This window comes from Homo sapiens, chromosome 12 (assembly GCF_000001405.40).
Source record: "Homo sapiens chromosome 12, GRCh38.p14 Primary Assembly".
NCBI lineage: Eukaryota > Metazoa > Chordata > Mammalia > Primates > Hominidae > Homo > Homo sapiens.
In genome coordinates this window covers 85,353,553-85,374,755 of record NC_000012.12, presented here as the reverse complement: position 1 = coordinate 85,374,755, position 21,203 = coordinate 85,353,553, and the positions used below count along the sequence as shown (strand labels likewise).

Sequence of the window (21,203 nt, the reverse complement as noted above, 5' to 3'; positions counted from 1 at the left end):
AATAAACTTTCATTTATTATGTTGTTTAACAAAAACTTAAGTTTTAGCTCTATGCCAAGGGTTAGCAATAAAAAGATATATAAGACATTATCCTTCTTATAAATATCAGTCAAGTAGAGGAATATGCAAATAATATAAGCAGATTATATGGCAAATTTTATTAAAAGTGTGTAGGATCACTCAATTAACAGAGAAAAGCATAAATTAAGAAGGGGAATGACTGAAGGCAAGATAATTTTGAAGAATCTAGAACTCAACAGTCTAAGACTGAGACCACAAAGTCCCAGAAAAAGGCAATAACAGTGAGTCAAAAGCATCACTTGAAAATTATAATTATGATGATGATGATAACAATAATAGCTAACACTTACTGAGTGCTCACTCTTTGCTAGATAACATTCTAAAAACTTCATGCTTATTTAATAAATGTAATTCTCAGAATAACCCCAAGTGGTTCATTCTACTATTATCGCCATGTTACAGATAAGGATACTAAGGCAATGGGCAGTCAACCATATTTTCCAAGGTCACAACAGTAGGAAGTACAAGACCCATAGAGCTGAAATTCACACTCAAACATGGATGCTAGAGCCTGTTTCTATAACTAGGAAGCCATGAGAAATAAAGAATTTTATGAGTCTCAGATTTCTCTCTTAGATCACTGCATAGATGACTTGCCAGTACTAAGAATAAACATTAGAGGAGAAGAAACATTATTGAAGAGAGAGATTACTAAATATTACTTCTGTTAGTGTTGATTTTGAGGGTCTTGCAGGAGATCTAAATGGAATGGGCTGCTATTAGAAACATGAATCTGGATCTGGGATAGAGTTGAAAATTAGAGGTATACATTTGGAGGGCATTTTATTGAAGTCATAAACTCACCTAGCAATGAGTGGAGTCAGAAGAGATCCTAGAATGGAACTATGGAGTATGTCAATATTGAGTATGTAGGCAGTGAGCCAACAAAGAATTATGAATCCAAATGGCCAGAGGAAAGAAGATTTCAAATGTTCATGGGGAGGGGTGTTTAGGAGAGTGTAAATATTAAGCAAAGGTCAAGGAAAATAAGGGATAACAAGTGATGACTCAATGTAATATTTCACAAGCTTAATAAGTACAGTTTCGGAAAAAGATGCGGAGAAAATTCAGATTTTAATTGTATGAATAGTAGTCATAATTATCTGAATCAACAAGTGATGCTTAAAATGGCACAGATTTCAAGCTAATTATTTTACATATAATATGGATATAAAAATGAGATATATGAAAAGTCTCTGTACCTTCTTCTCAATTTTATTTCACTTTCCCCTCAATTTTGCTATGACCCTAACACCTCTCTAAAAAATAAAATCTATTTATAAAATAGATGCTGCAAGTTAAACTACCTTTTTAATCACTACCGTAAGTACACAAAGATGATCATAGAATATTTGTTTTTATGATCATCTTTGCTACATCTATCAGTACTTTATACCTCTCCTAAATCAAAATGTTACGTAATCAAGAATCTATATCAAATTATAGAAAACCACTAACAATCGGAAGAGATGATACTATGAAAAATGAAACAAACAAAACAAAACCAAAAGTTGAACTCAAAAAAAAAAATACGAGGATAAGTTTAAGCAAGCCAGTTAGGTAACCATTAAAAACACTGAATTCATTCAAATCAAATTATTAGTATCTATTTAGCCTCTCAGCCATAAGGAATCACTGAATGTTAAAAATGTGTGGAAATTTAACAGATAAGGAAATCAAGGCCTTTGGCACTAAAATAGCCTAAAATCATGCTGCTAGTAGTCTTAGAATATAAATCACAACACGTCTTCCTTGGAATCAACATAAATGCCCATTGACAGTAGACTGGATGAAGAAAATGTGTACATATACACCGTAGAATACTACATAGCCATAAAAAAGAATGAGATCATGTCCTTTGCAGCAACATGGAAGGAGCTGGAGGCCCTTATTCTGAGCAAACTAATGCAGAAGCAGGAAATCAAATACCACAAGTTCTTACTTATAAGTGGGAACTAAATATTGAGTAGACATGGACACAAAGAAAGGAACAATAGACACCAGGACTTACTTGAGGGTGGAGGGTAAGGGGAGGATGCGTATTGAGAAACTACCTATCAGATAATATGCTTATTACCTGGGTGATCAAATAATCTGTACACCAAACCCCCGTGAAAAATAAAACAGAACACATCTTGATTCAAAGTTCAGTGTTCTTTTGACTACACTACACTGTATCCTTCTAAATTTTGTAGTCTAAATAATTTAAACTTGCATCTAAAAACTCTATATACCTGAGTCAACTACATTAAATATTCATGTATAGATTTATAAATGAATTGGCATATCTGACTGTGTATGACTGAATATATTACTGAATATGTTGCAATTCTTTCATTATTATCCTTGTATATAGTAGGCAAAAATGACTTGCTAATGAAAAGATTGCTTTCAAATGGCATGTCTATTTCCAAGAACTGTGTAAAATGTTGAATCAACATTACCCATTACCTTTAGTTTCTTGAATTTTTTGCCACAGTGATTATCCTCTACGAAGATCTGACAAAAGCTTAAGGAAGAACAATGCTCAGAGAGACTGGTATTATTTTCCTTAAAAAAAACTACAAGGATAAGGTTAAGCAAGGTTAAATGTAAATATGTCAATGTGTAGAGCTTATGTTTCTTCATAATGCGTAGTGCAAGTGTGCTATTAAATGCTCCAGAAAAATTGACTTAAACTTAGAGAAACTCGTATTTTTTTTTCCTAGCTTTGCTCCCAAAGAAAGACAACCAGATGAATGAATCCAAAACTTAAAACTTTCAGGTTTTTGAAAAGGTGATTTCACCTTACATTTATAAATGTAGTCCATGACTGTATATGACTATGCTAATTAGTGAAAAGAAGCAGATATTTTTGTTCTGTGCACTTGTTTGTGTGTTCTGTTTCCATTAAAAGCTTCCTGTTAAAAACAGGAATAAGCAGTAACCATTACAATTGGTATGACACCAAAGTCTGTAGCTTAAGCCTCCTTAATATAATAAACCATGAACTCAAGTTAGAATGGCTTTCATTCCTTAAATGCAAGAGAACTTTTTTAAATTAAAAGGAAAAATCTTCAACTTCATATATCATAGAACTATGCATAAGCATTCTAACAGTCTTATTAAAACCTAAGTGTTTTATTTAGGTAAATAAAACAACCATTTTTTTCTGAGAATATATTCAGTATTACTCATTAATACCTCTTAAATTGACAGTAAGATTAGAACATGTAAACACAAATTATTATGGAAGATTAGGTTTAGCAGTTGGTAGAATTATGTGTCAGGAATGATTTGGAAGAGAGCTCAAAGAATATGAAAAACTGCCTTAAGATCAATTACAATAATAACCAAGTAAGTAAAACTTACAAAGGTCAGTGCTCAGGTTTATCACAAATAAGACCTATGTTGGAATTTGAGAGTTAAAATTTCTCAGAGAACCCATAATTTTAAAATGTCAAATTGAAAATTTTTACTACAGATTAAGCTGCTCTAGCAAAGGAAATATGAATTACAATAACTTCTTAAAATTACTTTTCACCTATGTTCATTCATATAGCCAGCAATCAGTAAATATTTGTGGAATAAGTAAATAATTAGAGAAGTCTCTCCTTGCACAAACTGCTTTCCTAAACATTTTTTTGTTTCTTATTTTAGTGTTTCTTAAGGTATTGATAGTCCCTGTATGCTCTATTAACCAGCGCTGTAGATTGCAAGTTAGTAGAGAAATGTAGATTTACTTTACGTTATCTTATCCAATTGAGTTTAGAAGAAAAATTCTGGGATTTCCCTTTTCATCCAAATGTTTTCACTACTTTATCTTTCAAGAGAAAAGGAATGAGGAAAGATCAACCAAGGGGAAATGAAAAATGACAAGTGTTGAAGACACATATGTGTGATATCTGTAAATATAACCAAGTAAGCCCAGTCAGAATTAGAGGCTTTCGTGCCGACCTAGCAGGAATACTCCCTAGAATGAAGCCTCAGACTTTTCCAGATATTTCTCTGGAGACCTCAGAGTCCCTTTTTTTTTTTTTTTACATATATATATATGTCAAATATATATACATGTATATATATATATGTCAAATATATACATGTATATATGTCAAATATATATACATGTATATATGTAATATATATACACATATACATAATATATATGCATATACATAATATATATGTATATATGTAAAACGTGTGTGTATGTGTGTGTGTGTGTGTATATATATGTAAATATATATATATATGTAAATATATATATATATATATAGCATGAGAGCCTGTTAGGAGCCAGGTACTGTGAGAGAGAGAGAGAGAGATATACATATATAGTCTTTTTTTTTCTTTTTTCTGAAATCCCTACATTTACTCACTCCCACTTCCCTATTTCCAATGACCTAAGATATCAGAATTTCTATCTACTTCCCTTTTTAGTCCCCAGAAGAACCAATATTTTCCACAGGCAACCTTTAGTTAAGAAGTATCACTGGATGTGCTTAAGTTAAGAAGTTATCACTGGATGTGCTTTGGCCTTTTTAATAGAAAAGATATTTATTTACCAAATGTGCTATAAATATATCTCTATGTGAGACAAATCATATACGATAAATTATCAGCTAAAAATTCTCCTCAGAGGTAATTTGAAACCAAAGTCAAATTTGGCTGAAACACAGAAGATATAGTTCTCTTTAACCTAAAAATATGTAGTAGTTGAATTCCACTGAAGGGCTTGGCAATGCAGTAATATGTTTGTAACCAGGGCCTAACTTCTTGTTATTACCAGTGGTTTATGGTCAAAGTATTACAGTCAGCACATTGTAAAAAACTTTTGGGAGAGTGGCTTACTTAGTGCCAAACTTGAACTGAAATTTCATTTCTGGTAGCTTATCTGCACACATCTCTAAAGGCATCTTAGTTCTGGTTCTGTGATAAACAAAAACAAAGGGGGAATCAGACAAGGAAAACAATCTGTATTTGTGGTTTATTTTCAAACTGCCTTTCTTCCTCACTTGAGTGAACAAACCAACATACAATCAGAAAGAGTAGGGGCCCAGGGAAGGGAGCGAAATTTAAGATATCTTACAGTGCAGTAAACTCAAAACCGTTAACATTCACAAACCATTTTTAAAGCCTATAATTTGTGCTAGAATGATTCAGAGTGATGGGCCTTTCATCCAAACCTTGATATTATGCCAGGACTCAGCTTTTCCTTTCAGTTCCTATAGGCCTCAGGAGGCTAGCCAGCTCCACTATGGCTCCAGGTATCGTTCATTCATTTCTTTTGTAAGCATTTATAGCATGATAGCCTGTTAGGAGCCAGGCACTGTGCTATTCCCTAGGGATGCAAGGATAAATAAATCATCATTCCTGACCCCCCCAGGCACTTATTACCAGTTGAGGAGGGAAATGATAGTAAGACTCTTGGAGTGTGACAAGTGCTGTGATACAAAGAAAACCAGAGAGCTATAAGGGGTGGGGAATAAAAGGATGCAACACTTAGTCCATGGAGTCAGAGAAGGCTTCCTAGACAAAATGGGTCTTGAAGAGAAAGCAGGATTTCGCACAGTAAATATTCAATATCTAGCATCTCTTATTGTAGTTATTATTACAGCTTGATCACCTCTAATTTGAAAATCTGAAATCCTTTTTTTTTTTTTTTTTTTGAGATGGAGTCTTGCTGTATCACCTAGGCTGGAGTGCAGTGGCGCAATCTCAGCTCACTGTAACCTCCGCCTCCCAGGTTCAAGCGATTCCCAGCCTCAGCCTCCCAAGTAGCTGAGACTACAGTTGCCCACCACCATGTCCAGCTAATTTTCATATTTTTAGCAGAGACGGGGTTTCACCATATTGGTCAGGCTGGTATCAAACTTCTGACCTTGTGATCCACCCGCCTCGGCCTCCCAAAGTGCTGGCATTACAGGCGTGAGCCACAGCGCCTGGCCTGAAATCCCTTTTGAGCACTGTCATGATGCCCTAAGTGGAAAATTCCACATGTAAGTACTTAACAAAAACTTTGTTTCATGCACTAAAATATTTAAAATATTGTATTAAATTACCTTCAGGCTATTTGTATAAGGTATATATGGATCATAAATAAATTTCATGTTTATACTTGGGTCTATTCCCTAGGATATCTCTTTGCAAATATTCAAAAGTCCAAGAAAAAAAAAATCTGAAATCTGAAACACTTCTGGTCCCAAGTATTTCAGATAAGGGATATTCAACCTGTACTATGATTATTATTTATATGTCATAAAAGGGTGTTATTCATTTCTAGTCTCAACTGATAAATCACTTCATATGAGAGATGAATAGTTTACTAGGTACAAGTTTTTTTTGGAAATTAACAAATACAAAATGCAGAGCAGCAGATGATAAACCTTATAAAAATCAGGAGTTTTGTGAAGCTGAAACTGGTAGTATCACAACAAAGCAGTCTTTATTTATGTGACCTATCCCAACTGTCCTAAAAAGGTCAGTTGAATTATGATCATAACATTGTTTCAAACAAAATGCCTTTGGCTGGATCACTCTAGAGTTACTTTATCCCTGGAATGCGACTCTCATATTTCCTAAAAAGGGAAGTCCCTTCTATAAAAGTGTGTCACTCATGGATGAGAAGGAAGCCATAACTATAATTTAGACTATTAGAACAGGGGTCAGCAAACTATGACCCGTGGGGCCAAATCCAACCTGCTGCCTGTTTATATAAATAAAGCTTTATTTGCAAACAGACACACCCATTCACTTAACCACTGCCCATGGCTGTTTTCACATTACAAAGGCAGAGCTGAGTAGTTAAGATAGAGACCTTATGGTCTCCACAGCCTTAAAGTATTTACTATTTGACTCTCTACAAGTTTTCCAAACCCTGCATTACACTATTAAAGTAATTCATAGCAGTTTACACATTGCAATGACTTCTTTCTGACATCAGCGGGGTGGTGGGGGGCGGGGGGGGCTTTTTCACTAATGCTTTCATCTTTGAAGTATTCAAGTACAAGGGGCCTTATTTAAAGTTATTATTCATTTGAGTTATTCTATATTTTCATTGTATTGACTAACACAATAATTCTTTTCCTTTCTGATAAATTTTCTTGACTATTTATTTATAAACCAACCAGAAAGCATAATTTTAAAGCCTATTTTTAAAAACTGTATAATCTCCTTTGCCCTATTCAATTCAATTTTACCTTAAATATGACCTTTATCATAACATGTGGAAAGAAATGCTTAAGTTCTTGTAACCAATTCCAGTTAATATGACTTCAGACCAATTAAATGTACATGGTAAAGAGAGTTAAGTGGTCTATAATTTATCATCTTTGGCTGGGTGCAGTGGCTAACGCCTGTAATCCCAGCACTTTTGGAGGCAGATGTGTTCGGATCACTTAAAGTCAGGAGTTCAAGACCAGCCTAACCAACATGGTGAAACATGTCTCTACTAAAAATACAAAAATTAGCTGGGCATGGTGGTGGGCACCTGTAATCACAGATATTTAGGAGGCTGAGCGAGATAATCTCTTGAACCTGGGAGGTGGAGGTTGCAGTGAGCCGAGACTGCACCACTGCACTCCAGCCTGGGCAACAGAGCGAGACTCTGTCTCAAAAAAACAAACAAAACAAAACAAAACACCTTCACTATAAGTGGGAGGAAATGCTGGGATTGAGGGCATGGATTCTGTGTTTTATAAGATTTAAAGATTATTTTGATGATGAGATATAACACAATGACACTAGGATAGATGAAGGACAGAAATCTTTGTTACTTAACAGCTCCAAACTAGTTACTTAACAGCTCCAAACTGCTAGGCAGGGCCAACAGTTGTTGCACCCTGGGAAAGGGTAACAGCAAGTTGAAGCTGTAGGGAGAAACTAATGTATGGCAAGTAGCGGGGGATAGCTAGGTTTCCTAAATTTCTCTGGATTGGGTAATTTGAATAGTATCCTGTGCTTCGGGGAAAAAGGATTATCCCTAGTTGTCTGATATATGGTCTTGGGATGATAAAGGCTGGTACATAGAGGATCAGAGTATAAGATTCAAAAAGGAAAATGGATGGAGTATGGACTTAACTAGCTTTTCAAGAAGGGAAAGTGGCTGGGCACAGTGGCTCACGCCTGTAATACCAGCACTTTGGGAGGCCGAGGCGGGCAGATCACCTGAAGTCAGGAATTCGAGAGCAGCCTGGCCAACATGGTGAAACCCTGTCTCTACTAAAAATACAAAAATTAGCTGGATGTGGTGGTGGGCGCCTGTAATCCCAGCTACTCGGGAGGCTGAGGCAATCGCTTGAACCCAGGAGGTAGAGGTCGCAGTGAACGGAGATAGGCCATTGCACTCCAGCCTGGGCGACAAGAGTGAAACTCCATCTCAAAAAAAAAAAAAAAAAAAAAAAACGAAGGGGAACTGACCAGCCTCTAGTAGTCAAGGCTTCAAAACTGAGTCAAGCTTCCTTTTTATAAAACAAACGCAAAACTACACTCTGGGGTTGGATTTCTTAAATTCAAGTCGGGTTACAAATACTGGTAAACGATTGGGCCCTGACCAAGCTGCTTAATCACTCTAAGCCTCAGTTTCCACATCTTTAAAATAGGGAGAAAAAAGTATCTACCTTTAAGGGATTGTTGCATGATGAAATGAGAGATCTGTATTAAGTGTTGGGGTATTAGTCTGCTTTCACGCTGCTTATAAAGACATAACCGAGACTCGGCAATTTACAAAAGAAAGAGGTTTAATTGGACTCACAGTTCCACATGACTGGGGAGGCCTCAGAATCACGGTGGAAAGCAAGAAGGAGCAAGTCACATCTCACAACAATGGCGGCAGGAAAAGAGAGAATGAAAGACAGGTGAAACTGGTTTCCCCTTATCAAACCATCAGATCTCGCGAGACTTACTCACTACCATGAGAACGCTATGGGGGAAACTGACCCAATGATTCAATTACCTCCACCTGGCCCTGCCCTTAACAGGTGGAGATTATTACAATTCAAAGTGAGACGAGTGGAGACACAGAGCCAAACCATTTCAGCTGGGCACTGTATCGGGCCCATAGTGATTACTCAGTATGTGATAGCCATTACTATCAGGACCAATTCTACACACACAGAGTATTATAGTCTGTTATCCTAGAAAATAATATTACACAAAGTGGACTGTGGTACAGTTTTTAAAAATATTACTACATATGCTTTTTGAATACAGAAAACCAAATATACAGAGACTATGTCTGATACATAAATTCCCTTTCCTTTAACAGCTTGTTCTGTTAAAGCTATCCTAATGATCATATTCTGCTTACCACTTAATCAGTTATACAGTGAATTTAAACCAGTAGGTTATAATTTTGAAATCACAGCTCAAGTAAAATTGCTTTTATTGATTTTTTTTTAAAAATAAAACAGCATCATATAATTTTACCTTTCTGCAATAGCCATAGTAACCTAGGGTTTAACAATGATTCATGACATCGTTTTAAATTTAAAGATCTATTGATTTGTTAACTTTTTCTTTAACTATAAGAAGAAAACAAAGACTCTAACTGCAAGTAAAAATTCATCTGAGGTTACTGGAAAGAAGAATTTTTGCTAAACATATCTATAACAATCTTTCTATATTTTCTAAACATGCAATGTTATGTTGGCATAACTTTATCATTTAGCTATATTGAAAAATAATTTATCTTTATTATAGAAATTAAATATTTTTCAGAGAAATAAAGCCTAAAGTTGTAAGTATATAAGAGATTTTTTAAAAGTTGTGAAATTAAATAGTATCTTTATATTTAATTGGGTTATTAGTATATTTGATTCTAGCATTTCCATAGCTCTAATCTTATTTCATTGTTAGCCACACTGATGTTTTTTTTTTCTTTAACTTCTATGAGGAAAAAATGAAATTAGCCCAGCATGAGATTATTCATTGTGGTCCAACATGTATAGCTTGGTTTGGAAATGTTTGCCTGCACTTGTGGCTGAGTCTCAATCAGCACACCAGTTTCATATAATGTATACAGGTTTTAATTTTAAATACGTATTTTCACCTGTTTATCAATCATTTTAGGATGTAATCAAGTATGTTGGTAGCATAAATATGCATTTGTGATGATATAGACTTTTCCTTGGAAATTTTATTAAACATTCTTGTGTGTGCATAATCAAAATTATTAAAGAATTAAGTGACATTCCTAGGTTGACATATAGTTTTAATCTACAATGATTCAACTTATATCTAATTGAATATTTAAAGTATACAGCATAAACTACATATAAACCACAAAAACAAATTGTGGAACACAAAAGTAAAGAGCATAGAAATAAAAAAAAGCATAGAAATCAACTGACATCAAACAGTAAGAAATATCACTGTTTATAAAACTATGGCACTCAGCATTAGCATATAGTTAGAGATTTGATGCGGATCTAAAATTCAGAGAAGAGTGAACTGACATTGATTCTATAGGACCAGGGAAACAAAAAACCTGCCCTTAGTAATAATTTGCCTAAAAAGTTGGGGCCTAGACAACCATCCTGTTTCCTTATCTCTTTGAGAACAGACCACGGGTTTTTAAAGAAATGGATCAGATTAAGTATCTAGGAAAATTCGTGACTTAAAAAAAAAACAAAAAAAACTTCCTTTTAAAATTTAATCAGAGAATAAACACTTGTAGGAAGGAGATTTGTAGAAGATTTCATTTTACGCATCATTCTAGCAGAAAGAAAAACTGAAGTCAGCACCACCCTGAATATTCAGAAAAACATTCTTTAGCGAATGGCCAAAATCAACATCATGTTCCTGGATTGTTGAACTTGCTTCCTGACCCATCAATTGGCCTTGCATCTGGGTTGGCTGCTAATCTAGCTAGTTACTCATTCTCAGAAAAGAAGGAGCTTTTGATTTTTAGCATTAGCTTTTATTTTGATATTTTGATATAAAAAAGTGTCATACAATAGGTTACTTGCAAGAGTTTCTTTCATTATTCAAAATGTATTTTTAGTATATTAGTTACATGATATTGGGATGGCAGCAATAATCAGAGGATATACAAAAGAATAGCCGTTTCCTGGAAGTATAAGCAATCACAGAAGAGGCCATCTTGTGTTTACCATGAGAATCAGTTGTCATTTTCATGACATCATTTATGTTTTTTTTCAGGTAAATTTTTGTACTGATGCAATTTTGTTCACTGTCTATGCTTCTTTCACAACTGTCCCTATAACCTTTGCATTGTTTCAGACAGGCAATTCCTGTATTATATTGAAATGAAAGGCCTAAATCAGAAAGCTGGGGTTTAAATTCTTAGTTTTTAGAGATACATGTTTTATTATTCACTATCTTTATTCTTTTATCTTTGCTCTGATATATTACATTATGTTTTCACATGGCCTTGTTCAAAGACTGGAAGAGGAAGAGCCATACTTCTTATTGTGTCTGTTTTGACAGAGTAGAAGATCCTTCACCAAAGTCCCTAACAACCCACTTTTGGTGTCATTGGTTCCTACCTGGTGATTCCTTTAGATGGGGGGATGGAATTGTCACAATTGGCTAAAACAAATCAACATTCACTCTGGGCCAAGGTGGGGTCAGCTTCCGTAGGCACATAATCACACCAGGGCTCTGCCACTGAGACAGGCAAGGGGAGAGTGAGGGAACTGATGGACACCAACAATGACTGGCACAGCTTTATGGCTACTTTCAATTCTTTATGCAACAAAGACATTTCATGAGACTCACAAATTATACCAAAGGAATTCATTTTTGTGTAAATGACTGTAATTTCAACGTCAAGTAAAAGTCTTAAGACTATGATAATACTACATTGTCTCTCTCTCTCTCTTTTTCTTTCTTTCTTTATTTTATTTTATTTTTTTGACTGAGTCTCACTCTGTTGCCTAGGCTGGAGTGCAGTGGTATGATGTCAGCTCACTGAAACCTCCGCCTCCCAGGTTCAACTGATTCTCCTGCCTCAGCCTCCCAAGTAGCTGGGATTACAAACATGTGCCACCATGCCTGACTAGTTTTTGTAATTTTAGTAGAGATGTGGTTTCACCATGTTGGCCAGGCTGGTCTTGAACTCCTGACCTCAAGGGATCTGCCTGCCTGGGCTTCCCAAAGATCTGGGATTACAGGCGTGAGCCACGGTACCCAGCCACATTGTGCCTTTTTATGATCTTTTTATAAACACAATGCGATACACAGTGTGAATGTGTAGATTTTTTTTGTTTGCACTGTTTATGGCTGTTGAAGATTGAATGAGGAGAGCAAATATTCTCTCAGATTTAGTTTGAATACAAACCACAATGAGAAAAATAATAGAATGCTTATGTTAAGTTGTATTCTCACAATGTATTAAACCTCCTAAAACAAGCTGTTTGACATAGCTTTTTCTTTTTTTTTAAGAGAAAAAATACAGTGTTTACCATGGAAAAATTTCCAAATTACAAAATTAATATGTTCTGTTTATACTAGTTTAACCACTTCTGAAATTTCTACATGAAAGTGAAATGGCTTTCATTCTGCCCACCATGTAAAGCAGTTGGGCGTGCATTTTTCCAAATATTTTTCCTGTCTTTTTAAAATTATTTTAGATTCAAGGTGTAACACGTGCAAGTTTGTTACATGATTGTATTGCATGATGCTGAGATTTAGGGTACAATTGAACCCATCACCCAGGTAATGAGCATAGTACCCACTGGGTAGTTCAACCCTTGTCCTACTCTCTCCTCCTCCCTCTTGTAGTCCCCAGTGTCTATCGTTTTCATCTTTATGTCTATATGTGCCCAATGTTTAGCTCCCATTTATAAGTGAAAACATACAATATTTGGTTTTCTGTTTCTGTGTTAATTCCATTAGGATAATGACCTCCAACTGCATCCATGTTGCTGCAGAGGAAATGATTTTGTTCTTTTTTATGACTGCATAGTATCCCATGGTGTATACGTACCACATTTTCTTTATACAAGCCACTATTGACAGATACCTAGGTTGAGTCCATGTCTTTGCTATTATGAATAGTGCTACAACAAACATACAGGTATATATATCTTTTTGGTAACATAATTTTTTTCTTTAGGTATAGACCCAGTAATTAGATTGCTGGGTAAACTAGTAGTTCTATTTTTAGTTCTTTGAGAAATCTCCAAACTGCTTTCCACATTGGCTGAACTAATTTACATTCCCACCAATAGTGTATAAGTGTTCCTTTGTCTCTGCAGCCTCTCCAACACCTGTTAAATTTTCACTTTTTAACAAAAGCCATTCTGACTAGTGTGAGATGGTATATCACAATTTTGATTTGCATTTCTTTCTGATTAATGATATGAGCATGTTTTCATTCATTTTTTTGGCCGCTTATATGTCTTATTTTGAGAAGTGTCTTTTCATGTTCTTTGCCCACTTCCTAATGGGGTTATTTGGTTTTTTGCTTGTTGATTTTTGTAAGTTCTTTATAGAGTCTGGATTTTAGACCTTTGTCAGCTGCATAGTTTGTGAATATTTTCTCCCGTTCTGTAGGCTGTTTGCTCTGTTGATAGTTTCTTTTACTGTGCAGAAGCTCTTTAGTTTAACTAGGTCCCACTGTTAATTTTCACTTTTGTTGCAATTGCTTTTGAGGACTTAGTCATAAACTTTTTACCAACAGTGAAGTCAAGAAGGATATTTTTTAGGTTTTCTTCTAGAATGTTTATAGTTTGAGGTCTTACTTGAGTTAATTTTTTAATATGGTGAGAGGTAGGGGTCCAGTTTCATTTTCTGCATATGGCTAGCCAGTTTTCACAGCACCATTTATTGAATAGGGAGTCATTTCCTTATTTCTTTCTTTATTTTTTTAAAGCCTGTGTCAAAGATCAGACAGTCATAGGTGTGTAGCTTTATTTCTAGCTTCTCTATTCTGTTCCATGGGTCTATGTGTCTGTTTTTGAACCAGTACCATGCTGGTACTGTAGCTTTGTAGTATAGTTTGAAGTCATGTAATGTGATGCCTCCAGCTTTGTTCTTTTTGTTTGGATTGCTTTGGCTATTTGGATTCATTTTCGTTCCATATGAATTTGAGAATAGAATTTCTAATTCTGTGAAAAATGACATTGGTAGTATGATAGAAATAGTCTTGAATCTGTAGATTGCATTGAGCAGTATGGTCATTTTAATGATATTGATTCTTCCAGCCCCTGAGCATGAAATGTTTTTCCATTTGTTTGTGTCATCTATAATTTATTTCTTCAATGTTTTGTAGTTCTCCTTGTAGAGATCGTTCACCTTCTTGGTTAGATGTATTCCTAGGGGTGTGTGTGTGTGTGTGTGTGTGTTGTAAATGGGATTGCATTCTCAATTTGGCTCACAGCTTGAATGTTATTAGTGTATATAAATGCTACTTTTTTTATGTTGATTTGTATCCTGAAACTTTACTGAAGTTGTTTTTCTAGGTGACATAGCTCATTTTTAAAGCACTTTGAGTTGTAGGAAAATAAGTTCACCAAATTAATTAATTTAGTCAACAAATACATCCTGAACACCAACTATGTACCAGTCATTGTCCTAAGGGTGAATATACAGAGATAAGTGGAATAGTTAAGATCAGAAAAGTTGTAATTGAATGAAAATATGAAATGAACAAACAATTCGAAAACAAACAAGTCTCAAAAGAACAAAAAGGTAATGTAACATAAAATAACAGTGCTGAGATACAAAATATACTTATTAGATAATAAAGTCAGAAAAATCCCGTATGAAATGACTTTTAAGCTAAATTTAGACAAATAGATCTCCAAAATACACCCTTGAGCTAAAATGTCTTTTTATATCTAATTGTTTAAAGAGGAGAAGAATATTTTTATACATGAAAATTATATAAATTCAAACTTCAATGTCCATAAATAAAGATTGGTGGAAAAACAGCCATGCTTATTCATTATGTATTGTCTATGGCTGGGTGACTAGTTGTGACAAAGACTGCATGACCCAAAAGCGTAAAAATATTTACTGTCATGCTTTTTATGAACTTTGCCCATCCTTGGTCTAAAGATGAACAAAACTGAGTCTCAGGTAGAGAGCCAGGGGAAATACATTCTAGGAAGAGAAAAGAGTACACAAGAAGTTCTAAAATAAAGCAAAGCCAAAAACAGAATGACAGTGATTATGTGGGAAACAAAGAAATTCAGTAGGAGAGGTTATCAGGGCCAGTTTATACAGGGTCCCCACGTCAGCCAGGTGGAACTACCATTAAGTGTGATGGGAAGCCCATGAAGGATTTTAAGCCAGGGATTTCTTGGTATTATCTTTTAAAAATATCATTTATATGCTGTTGGGAAACTTTACTAAAGGAGAGCCGTAACAGACAGCAAGCCTGATTAAAAAAAAAAAAAGTTACCTACTGGTAACGGCCAGACAAGAACTGACAGTGGGTCTTGGTCAGTGCTGGTCAATGATTTGCATGTTACAAATCTTTGAAGAGAACAGGTCAGAAATTAAGGGTAAGCATTTAGACACTTCCAAAAAGGATTTCTTATTGTGGTGCCATTCAAGCATATGAGCAATTGCTTATTTATATAACATGCTTGGAAAGAAGGAAGAAAGGAAGGAAGGAAGGAAGGAAGGAAGGAAGGAAGGAAGGAAGGAAGGAAGGGAGGGAGGGAGGGAGGGAGGGAGGGAGGGAGGGAGACAGGGAGGGATAGAGAAAGGGAGAGAAGGGAAGGGGAGGGGGAAGGAGGAAAGAAAATAAGGAAGAAGAGAAGAAAGGAAAGGAGAAAGACAGAAGGAAGGAAGGGAGGGAAGAGAGGGAAAGAGGGAGGGGAAAGGAAACGAAGGAAGAAAACTTCAGAACCCCAGCAAACTTATTTGCAGTGTGCCTGACTTCCTTATTCTTTGATTTTAATTGTGCTTCAAACAGCTTTATGTGGCCTCTTTTGTTCAATGAAATAAATTAAATAGTTTTTACCTTACCTCATACAAAAAAAAATCAGTGGAGCTTGATAAAACATTTGCTAAGTCCTATATAAATTACATCTCTGGCTCATTTTTACCATTGTATACTTGTGAGAACTTCAGTCTGAATATTCACTTGCTTGGCACACAGAATGCTGAAATTTTTGCCCCTTACTGTTGGAAGGAGACTAGTTAAAAACTATCTGCAGTGCTGACAGTTCTTGCAAAAGAGTTACCAGTAACAGTTTTTCTATCACCAAAATGTTGCCAGTATATAAAACATCAGGGCCAGCTCCTGATGATCTTTCTTCAAGGCATACATAAGAAAATTGGATTGAAAATAATATTTCATTCAGATGCTTATTTTTATTGTTGTTAGTACACTGGCTACACAGACAAACTTAATGAATAATTCATTTGAAGTTTTAAACTTTCAGCATAAAGTAAAGAAGGTTAATTTATTTATACTAACACAGATAAAGAAACTTTTGTGTAGTTGAGAACAAGTTAAAGTGAATTTGTCTAAGTATGATTCTAACAAGGAAAGACATTAAACACTAAACGTCGGAGTAAAATTTCTAATGTGAATTGAAACAATTGCTTCATTCTCAACAAAATATAGGATACATAGTAAAAAGAGTTCTTAGTAAAGAGTTAGAAGTCTAGAATTTCACTCTACTACTTATTAATCATCTTTAAGAAGGTTATTTTAAATACTTCCAGCCTCAGTTTATTCAACCAGAGAATGGGTTAATCATATGTAATCTGTTTAATTTACAGTTATGTGATGTAGCTAAATGAGACAATGACTGAGAACATACTTTGGAAATTATTTATACACATTACTATTAAAAAGCTTGTTAAATGAGCTCCTAGAATCAATATAGTTACTAATGTACTGCAAGCAAAAGTGGTCAAACTACTCTGTGCGTAAATAAGGCACAAAGGTCATTGGAATATTTTCAATGGTGTCTGAGGAAGGTAAAGGGAGTCAAAAGGTATATAAATCATCTCTTACCTACAACTGTCACTGTTTCTTCTCATGTTGACTTCTGAGTTGGAAAGGTTGCCCCACCTCTGAGTTAAGCTTAGTTCTCAGACATAAGACAGATGAAGCAGGTTATTAGCAGCTAGTGTGGGGAGGCCAGTTTTAACTTTTCAGTTTACAAGATGATTTTTTGCAAAATTCCACTATAAATCCAGACAGATGTATTTTGTATAACTTCAATTTTTCTCCTATAACTATTTTCAAGAATATATATGGAGTGGAGAATTGAGCTTTAGAAATGCCATTTCATATGTATTGTGGTTATTTGTATCCCACTGGGAGCAAATGGCAGAATAGATGCTGAAACCTAACCTGTATAAAAACCAGGAGTTTTGGCCAGAAGCTAAAATACTCTCTTACAAATAGCAATCACAAATCTTTTTTGATGTGGACTGAGTTATAAAGAAAATGGAAACTCTTACTCTTAAAAGACCATAAGAAACAAAGTATTATCTTTCCAGCTGAGGTTAGAGTTGTTTGTGACCTTAGAGCTGGCAGCAATGGAAAAATCATGTCGAGTTTTATATGCTACTCACATGGTTGCATTTTTCCAAAGGAATAAGTGCACATATGATTCTGATGACCTCATAAGAGATATAAAGGTGTTATATTATAGTGGAAGACCAGCAAGCCTTTACATGAAAACTTCCTTTTTCCTGCAGTGTTCAAGATATTACCCACACCATATAAATTACACAGGGCTTCCCAAACATATAGCTGCCTGCTTTTAACTAAAGCTAAAGCCAATGTGAAGGCAGGATTTGGGCTGCTTTGACCTCAGATAGCAACAAAAATGAGGCATGAATATGGACTGTGGGGGAAGGAAAACAGGAAGTATTTTCCAATGAGATTATCCTCCAGGGATATTAAATAGTAAAGAAGCAACTCATATATATTAAACTTAATCTGTAAACAAAAAGTTCCTTTATGATGAAATAAGCAGATGATTAAGTATTTGTGAAACATAAAGCAGACACATTTAACAGAGTCATTAAATACAAAGAAAATTAGTCAGACTGGAATAACAATAAGCCGAGATAGACTTGTCTAGCCTAGATACAAACAGTAGAGAAAGCCTGGAAACGTTTATCCTTCCTTTGACTGATTTTTACCTATCAGCACATTTTTTAAATGACCCTTCTAAAGCTATCTCTTGGAGCAAAAGGTAGAATCCTGAAACTCATATTCTAGCTTCAGTAACGGTAGCTTTTCCAAAGGGTCTAAGCATTTAAACAATTTAAAAATAGTTTTGAAAGATAATACAAATATTATCTTTCAAATACAAATATTTGCATGTGTATACACACACACACACACACACACACACAGTTTTTTGCCAAAAAAATTTGAAAATCCATCATGCACACTTCCTCATGAGTGGTCGATTAATTGACACAGTCATTCTAGCAGAGTTGAATAGCTATTCCTGGACACATCTCGGATGTTAAATGTTTAACATTTACCAGCTTGGTCCTTGTGTACTGGCAACACTCAGTGTAATGATCAAGACACCTTAACCATTGTTATAATAAAAGCAATAATATACGAAAAAATATTCAACCAGACACATATTCTTTTGAAGAATATAGTTTTTTACTAATAAAAGTCACTTGAATCGTCTTAATGCCTGTGGAAAATGGTGACTAGAAGAATTTTTTAGAGGAATTTTTCAATGGATAGCTCCAAGAGGAGAGTTTACATTGTGCTCATGGTCTTCAGACTCTTTTCTCCATTAACTTGAATTGGTACATGAAAAAATAAAATAAAACACTCATCCTTCTACTATATTAGAAACATAATTTGTTTCAAATCATAAAAGAATAATGCATTTACTTTTACATTGTGCTGCTATTGTTTCTTAACCAGCTTTAGCAAGTGTGAAGAAACACTGGGCAGTGTAACTAGAAGACCCTGTTTTTATTCTCAGTTCTTTCCCCTCTCCGTTATGAACTTGAACTCATTTTCCCCACTCCTTTGGAAACTTGTGCCATTAATTATGCTGTCTCTCACTTTTATCTTCAAAATCTCTCCATCCACTGGTTTCCTTCCATGTGCTTTCATAAATGTGTTCCCTATGCTGAAATATGTTCCCTATGCTGAAAACACACAAATTAACAAACACACATGCAAACTAACACTTTTTTCTTTGATATCTTCTTATAACCCATCATCCTGTTTCTCTGTATGTTTCAACAATCCTGACTCTTTGAGATCTTCAAAAACTCTAAGGTCTTCAGAAACAATTCGACATTATGCAACAATGCCAAACATCTCCATAGCCAATGACTTATAATGTTATTTTTAGAGAAATGTCTTATGTTTCTATCTCTTTACATATTCTTCAACAAGTAATGCTCTTATTCTTTTATTATTATTATTATCTTGGTAAGAAGACTTAACGTGAGATCTGCTGTCTTAACAAAATTTTAAGTGCACAATACAGTGTTATCAACTTTATGACCAATTCGACTGTTATAAAGTTTCAATTATGTAGCCAGTAATATTCTTTCATTTTTCTGATGTCCCCCGCCTCCCAATCTTTGCCTGGCAAATTCCCACATTCCTTAGTTGTCTCTGCTTTAGAAAGGTCTGCCTTAATCTATAGTAGGTCAGCTTTATTGCCTATATCATCTTGTGCTTAGCCTTTCTGAACACTCAGCTTACCTGTTAAATGTCTGCTTTCTGCACCAGACTTTAAGCTCCACTGGGGAACATATTGCTTTTCACAGAACCTGCCACAAAATGAATGATCAATAAATATATACTGAATTAAACTATTTTCTTTCTGGCCAAACTTCTTAAAAGAGATGTTCATAATCATCATAAAAGCTTCCTCAGCTCAAATTCACTCTTCATTATTCTAAAATATGACTTCTGCCCCCACAAATCTGTTGTATTTGCTTTCAGAGAAGTCACCAGTGACCTTGTAATTGCCTTTAGTTATTGTAACTCCTTAACCAAGCTGACCTCTCTAAGACATTTGATACTCCTAAGGCGAACATTCAGTAATTTGTTTAACATTTATTGTTTTCTGTGTGTCAGAAAATGTGAAAACGCTTCCCTTAGATTTCATCACATTTCTTTCACCTAGTTCCCCTACTTCTCTAAGTTTTCTTCCTGTCTTTCCTGAGCCAGCTTGCTTTCTTGTTCTTACCAAGGATTATTATCAGCCCTGGACTCTCCCTTTTACTTTATTGGCTATTCTTACATAAGATGAGTCTCCTTTAGTTAAACTGCTCATCATCCTGCTCATCATCTCTTAAACTATTACAGCTCCGTCTTACTGATTGTTCCCTGCTTCCAGCATGCCCATGCCAAGGCACCTCCCACTCTCATCTTCATTTAAAAATAAACCCACAGTTAGTCTTTGCTTTTAAATTTGTAATGTCCCCTTATTGGTCACAGGATACAGTTTAAATTCATCAGCCTAAACCACATGGCCTTTCACAATATCTCCCCAGCTTCCTCGAAGCCTCATCTCCAGATATTCTCTGTTGTACCCTGTGCTCCAAACATCCCAAATCATGTCACGTTTTAAAAACACATGCTACCCTCACTTAAATATGGGAGCTGTCCTCACTTTGCACCTTACGCTAAAAGTGCTTATGCTTCTCTGCTTCTTCAGAAAATTACAACATCAAAGATCTTATATGGTGAAAAGGGAGGTATCAGAAAAACATTTGAGAATCTGATCAAAAGATATTGAACCTCTTATCAGATAAAGTCACGCCTGCAAAAACAATTTTTCATACAATTTCATGGAATTTTATCTGCCTTGTTCATTTTGCAGAGTTGAATGTCAAAATACTATGTAAATGCGAGGCACTCATTTTTCTTCCATCTGAGAAAGAAAAATCTTCATATGCTATCTATTGCCTATATTAGGAGCTCAAGCAAAATGGCTTATGGGTAATTTTGAATAAATTGGCGATTTTATCAGGTTGGTCAGGCTTCAAATTAGATAATATAGTCTATACTCAGTCTGAAACATATAGAACAATGGGGCTTTCTATTAATTAAATAATACAAGCATTCCCTAAATTCATATTGTAGGGTGCAGTAGGGAGTAGGAATAGTATAAGTTTCAGAAGGTAAATACCTGAGAATAGCAATAACACCTGAGATTATGGAAAGCTAGTGGATTTAAGATGACACATTTCTTATAAGTGAT

General features: G+C 35.1%; 1 long non-coding RNA gene across 2 annotated transcripts in view; it reads right to left on the bottom strand.

Annotated features, from left to right (window-relative positions):
* LINC02820 (long intergenic non-protein coding RNA 2820) overlaps positions 1-21,203 on the bottom strand; it is a 172,109-nt gene that overhangs the window by 115,372 nt on the left and 35,534 nt on the right. Inside the window, exon 4 of one of the 2 annotated variants that reach the window (NR_183553.1) lies at positions 19,697-19,764. The exons of the other annotated variant lie outside the window; for it this stretch is intronic. This is a non-coding gene — a long non-coding RNA (long intergenic non-protein coding RNA 2820). The remainder of the gene's footprint in view (positions 1-19,696; positions 19,765-21,203) is intronic. 2 annotated transcript variants of the gene reach the window in all.